Source organism: Homo sapiens, chromosome 12 (assembly GCF_000001405.40).
Source record: "Homo sapiens chromosome 12, GRCh38.p14 Primary Assembly".
In the NCBI taxonomy this organism is placed as follows: domain Eukaryota; kingdom Metazoa; phylum Chordata; class Mammalia; order Primates; family Hominidae; genus Homo; species Homo sapiens.
In genome coordinates this window covers 112,899,917-112,906,138 of record NC_000012.12, presented here as the reverse complement: position 1 = coordinate 112,906,138, position 6,222 = coordinate 112,899,917, and the positions used below count along the sequence as shown (strand labels likewise).

Here is a 6,222-nt window from a genome sequence, read left to right as displayed (position 1 = left end):
CCTCTATTATTAACAGTACTGTGATACATTTGTTACAATTGATGAATTGATATTAATACATCATAATTAACAAAAGTCCATTTACATTAAGGTTTACATTAAGGTTCACTCTTGTGTCCTACAGTTCTATGGATTTTGCCAAACATAACATGTCATGTATCCACCATTACAGCACCATGCAGAATAGTTTTGAGATAGGAGGTGGGGCTTGACTCAGGGCCAGATTGAAGACTGGCTGGCATGAGCACCAGCACCATGAACAGTTTACTCATTCCCTGGCAATGACCCAGTTACCACCCTTCTTCTAGAAATTTCTGAATAACCTGCCCTTAATTTGCACGTATTTAAAAGTGGGTATGAATGTGACTATAGAAGTGCCCTGAGCTGCTGCTCTCCAGGCACTGCCTATGGGGTGGCCCTGCTCTGCAGGGACAGTCACAGAACTGTAACCCTGCTGCCTCAATAAACCTTTTTCTTCCTCCTCTAGCTCACCCTTGAATTCCTTCCTGGACGAAGCCAAGAGCCTTCCCGGACGGTGTCCCAGTTTTGGGGCTCCCCTGCCCTGCAAGAGTTTCACTACCTTAAAATCCCCTATGCCTCACCTGTTCATCCCTCTCTGAGTTAGATCTTTCTTCTCCTAATATATGCATTCAATGCTATAACTTTCCCTCTAAACACTACTTTCACTACATCCCACACTTTTTGATAGGCTGTTTTTTCATTTTAATTTAATTCAAAATATATTTATTTATTTTGTTGAGACAGGGTCTCACTCTGTTGCCCAGGCTGGGGTGCAGTGGCACAATCTTAGCTCACTGCAGCCTTGACCTCCTGGGCTCAGGTGATCCTCCCACCTCAGCCTCCCAAGTAGCTGGGACTACAGGTACATGCCACCATGCCTGGCTAATTTTTGTATTTTTTGTAGAGATGGGGTTTCTGCATGTGGCCCAGTCTGGTCTCGAACTCCTGGGCTCAAGCGATCCATCTGCCTCAGCCTCCCAAAGTGCTAGGATTATAGGCGTAAGCCACTGAGCCTGGCCCAAAATATTTTAAAATTTCTCTTGAGACTTCTTCCTTGCCCCATGTGTTATTTAGAGGTGTGTTCTTTAATCTCCATATATTTTGGAATTTTCCAGCTATCTTTCTTTTGTGGGTTTCTTTTTTAATTCCATTGTAGTAAAGGGCATGCTTTGCATAACATATCTCTGTTGAAATTTGTTAAAGTGTGTTTTCTAGCCCAGAACATAATATGTCTTGGTGAATGTTCTGTGTGAGTTTGAGAAGAATGTGTTTCCTGTTTTTGTTGGATGAAATATTTTGTAAATGCCAACTATCTTTCTTACAAACCCTTAACCTCTTAACCAGATTATTCATGAGTTGACACTCTCCACTCCTACTGTATAAGATGTTGACTTTGGCCTAAGACTAAATGTCACCATGAGGGTGGGGTGCTGTCTTTGCAATACTCACTTCATTTACTAGTTGAAGATTCTTGCTGCACTGTATGCAAAAAATTAGGCCAAGTATGATAAAGCAAACCAGTCATACCATTGTAGCAGGAAGAGCTGCAGACAAAAACCCCTCAGACACCGAGTTAAAGAAGGAAGGGGTTTATTCGGCCGGGAGCATGGGCAAGACCCCTGTCTCAAGAGCTGAGCTCCCCGAGTGAGCGATTCTTGTCCCTTTTAAGGGCTCACAACTCTAAGGGGGTCCATGTGAGAGGGTCGTGATGGATTGAGCAAGCAGGGGGTACATGACTGGGGGTTGCATACACCAGTAATTAGAACAGAACAGAATAGGACAGGGATCTTCACAGTGCCTTTTTTATGCAAATAACCTATTAGGTCAGGAGTCGATCTTTAACTACCAGGCCCAGGGTGTGGCACCAGGCTACCTGCTTGTGGATTTCATTTCTGCCTTTTAGTTTTTACATCTTCTTTCTTTGGAGGCAGAAATTAGGCATAAGACAATATGAGGGGTGGTCTCCTCCCTTACCATGATTCATCTTTAGTAAAAATGGGAAACTGGAGAAAGATTATGCTTCAAAAACTATAGTACACCTGTTGTTGCATTCTAGTCTTGCCTAATGTTTTTCAATTTTTATTATTTTCTATAGTTTGGACTGAATTCTAATTTTTCTTGGCTACAAGTCTCCAAAATAATATTTTAAATTTTTTCCTTCTTTTCCCCCCATTTTCCCTAATTTGGAATCACTGAAAACTAAGTTGTGCTTTTATAAAGCCCTGCAAACTGGAGCTAGACAACTTAAACCTCAGAAAAAAATAATTACATATTTACAGACGTAAGCCACTTTCATACCTATCTGCTGATGTGTGAACTTCGGAATACTCTGGCCTGTATCTTGATTTTCCAGGATTGTTCTTTTGTTTGTTGTGTTCTCCCTTCCTCCCCCTATTTTCTCTTCACAGGACATGAGACTTTACAACCTTCTAAAAATGAGCTTTCCTAATAACTCCGGACTTACCCCTATAGTAATAAACCATCCTAGCCAAGAGAAATCAGATGAAACCTGAGACTAGAGACTCATTTTCTTCTAAAATGCTTTGTCTAAAATATTTTTAAAAAGAAAAGGGAGGAAATGTGAAAGGAAAATATCTTGGGGCCCCAAAATCACTCAGCTAAAGGGAAAAGTCAAGCTGGGGAATTGCTCAGGGCAAACCTGCCTCCCGTTCTATTCAAAATCACCCCTCTGCTCACTGAGATAAATGCATTTCTGATTGCCCCCTTCAGAGAGGCTAATCAGAAATTCAAAATAATGCAACCATTTGTGTCTTATATACCTACCACTTGGAAGCCCCCTCCCCACTTCGAGTTGTCCCGCCTTTCCAGACCAAACCAATGTCCATCTTACATACGTTGATTGATGTCTCATGTCCCCTAAAATGTATAAAACCAAACTGTCTCTGACTGCCTTGGGCACATGTCCTCAGGTCCTCCTGAGGCTGTGTCACGGGTTGGCATCCTCAACCTTGGCAAAATAAACTTTCTAAATTAACTGAAAAAAAAAAAAAAGATTCTGGCCAGGAGCAGTGATTCAGGCTTGTAATCCCAGCACTTTCGGAGGTGGAGGCAGGAGGCTCACTTGAGCTCCGGAGTTTGAGACCAGCCTGGACAACATAGCTAGATGCTGTCTCTAAATAAATAAAGAAGACTTTGTTTGCTCCCATAGTGAGACCCTGTCTCTAAATAAATAAATAAAATTTTGTTTGCTCCCAAATGTCCTCATGGCAATTGCAGTTGTTAAATATTTTTGATTAAATATATATATCTGTAAACAGATGAGTGCAAAAGAGAGCTGTCCTTAGGAAACCAACATCCAATTCTTTGGAAAGATGCAATAAAGGCAAGCATTGCGTAGAATTAGCTAAGAGTGAGATGATCCCATAGAAGATTGAGAAAATAAGTTGAAACAAATCCACTTTTGCCCAGGATTATGCCTTCATGCCTTTGCAGGTGGCTTTAAATTATTGTTTCCTTTAAAGAAACAGAAACAGGAAATTACACACCACTCATTCTTGCGCTTTGAGAGAAAGATAGTGTGGGACTCCAGTCAGGGGGCCTGTCCTCAGCAAAAAGGTCTCGGTCTTCAACGAATGATTAGGAAACAACGGCACATTTATGGGGTGTAACAATTAACATAGAGAATCATGATGCTCTGATGTCTACCTGTGTAGTCAGAGAACAAAAAGGGGAAGTGACTTATTCAAGATCACACAGCAGATATGGACAAGAGCCAAGCAAAAGATACCTCTTTTTTTTTTTTTTTTTTTTTTTTTTTTTTTTTTGAGACAGAGTCTCACTCTGTTGCCCATGCTGGAGTGCAGTGCCATAATCTTGGCTCACTGCAACCTCCACCTCCTGGGATCAAGCAATTCTCCTCCCTCAGCCTCCCGAGTAGCTGGGATTACAGGTGTCTGCCACCACACCCAGCTAATTTTTTGTATTTTTAGTAGAGACGGGGTTTCACCATGTTGGCCAGGCTGGTCTCAAACTCTTGTGATCCACCTGCCTTGGCCTCCCAAAGTGCTGGGATTACAGGCGTGAGCCACCGCACCCGGCCAAAAGATACCTCTTATGTACATACTTTTGCTTTCATGGTACTCTTTTTAAAAATTATTATTTTTATTTATTTTTTTTTGAGACGGAGTTTCACTCTTGTTGCCTAAGCTGGAGTGCAATGGCATGATCTCAGCTTACCACAACCTCCACCTCCCAGGTTCAAGTGATTCTCCTGCCTCAGCCTCCCAAATAGCAAGGATTACAGGTGCCCGCCACCACGCCTGGCTAATTTTTTGTATTTTCAGTAGAGACAGGATTTCACCATATTGGCCAGGCTGGTCTTGAACTCCTGACCTCAGGTGATCCACCTGCCTGGCCTCCCACAGTGCTGGGATTGCAGGCATCAGCCACCATGCCTGGTCAAAAATTATTTTTAATTATTATGAATACATAAGAGTTGTACATATTTATGGGGTGCATGCAATATTTTGGACACAGGTGTATGATGTGTCACAATCACATCAGGGTAATTGGGGTGTCCATCACCTTGAATGGCTTGCTTAACCTCATCAAGCCAATGTCCCTGGCAGATCTGATTGAGCTGAGCAAGGGTCAGCCTGGCAGGTTTCAGAGCATTGAGTGTTTAATCCACTTGGCGGTAAGCCCAGCCGCAATTGGGCCTGCACTGCTTTCACCAGGAACCACCAGCCCTGTGACCTGCCCCTTTTCCTGGCCTCCCTTTTGTCATCCCTGATGGGAAACCAGACCTCAGCAACTTGATCTTGCCTCTGACTCCTACTCAGAACAAACATCTCTAGATGTTGGCTGAATTTCTGTGGGCACCAGCAGGAGAGTCTGCTCCCATCTGTGCAGAGACCTTGGAGATCTGATTTCTGCCTCACCTGAACTTCACCCACTTTCAGCTCCAACGTCCTGTTTTCAACCAATGCCAGTTCAAGAGCATTTTCCCCGATGCAAGCTGCGTGAGGGAGCCCAAGTTTAGGGGCTGGCAAGCGGAGGTGGCACTTGTCAAGTCTCTACTACGTGCCAGGTACTCTCGATGGACTGTACCGTTAACATCTCTCAGCAACTCTTTGAAATATTTATTACTCCAGCTGAGGAAACTGATACTCAGTGAGGCTAAATGACTTGGCCAAGTTCCCATAGCTAGAAAGTGTCAGTCAGAATTTGAATGCTGGACTTAATTGAAATTTTGGCTCGCGTTCTTTTCAGGGCAGATGCTTTCCAACACACCATATAGCCACTTACAGAGTGTTTTATTTCAATGGGGTCAGCCAGGGGTCAGGGGTGGGGCAGCACAATTAGCTAGATCAGGTGTACTAATATTTATGAAAACTTTCCTCCTGTATGTTCATCTCAGTCTGTTAGGCTTGTCTGCATATAAATGAAGATCAACCAGTTTAAGGATGGAAATTAGGCTTCTTTTTAACCGCCACCCATGACTGACTGGTGGTGGCTCCCTGGAACCCTGGGTTGAGAGGGACTCAGAGGCTGCTTGTAGGTTCTGTAGGAAAGATGCCGTATTGATTAGTGATGTCTGCCAGGAGCACAGGGAGAATGGCAAGTGTCTCCAGCTGTTCCTGTGAGGCTTCTAAGGACATAATTAGCACCTCTCTCCACCTAGTGGCAGCTAGCTAAATTGCCACCAGGAAAAACTGATCAACTTTTTGGGTAGTGGTTTTCAAAGTCATCATGAAGGTGGAAATCACAAGGCATCAACCAGGAAATATTTTCTTTTTCTTTTTTTTTTTTTTTTTGAGGCGGCGTCTTACTCTGTCACCCAGGTTGGAGTACAGTGGTATGATCTCAGCTCACTGCAACCTCCACCTCCCAGGTTCAAGCTATTCTCCTGTTTCAGCCTCCCGAGTAGCTGGCACTACAGGTGCACGCCACCACACCTGGCTAATTTTTGTATTTTTAGTAGAGACAGGGTTTCACCCTGTTGGCCAGACTGGTCTCGAACTCTTGACCTCAGGTGATTCACCCACCTCGGCCTCCCAAAGTGCTGGGATTATAAGCATGAGCTGCTGTGCCCGGCCAGAAAATATTTTCAACTATACACCTTATCCTCAGGGTTTAGCAGAATCTGTGGGGAAAGAAATCTCCCAAGTGAGACTAACATGCCAGCTTTTGCTTTTGAGGGCACAAACAGGAAATGGTCTCAAAGAAAAGAGAATTATC

General features: G+C 43.5%; 1 annotated feature.

Annotated features, from left to right (window-relative positions):
- Positions 3,536-3,595: an enhancer, noted in NCBI's record as "active region_7051". NCBI's record gives its function as "activates an Ori minimal core promoter by ATAC-STARR-seq in GM12878 lymphoblastoid cells {active_cell/tissue: GM12878}" and the evidence as "EXISTENCE:reporter gene assay evidence [ECO:0000049][PMID:35858748]".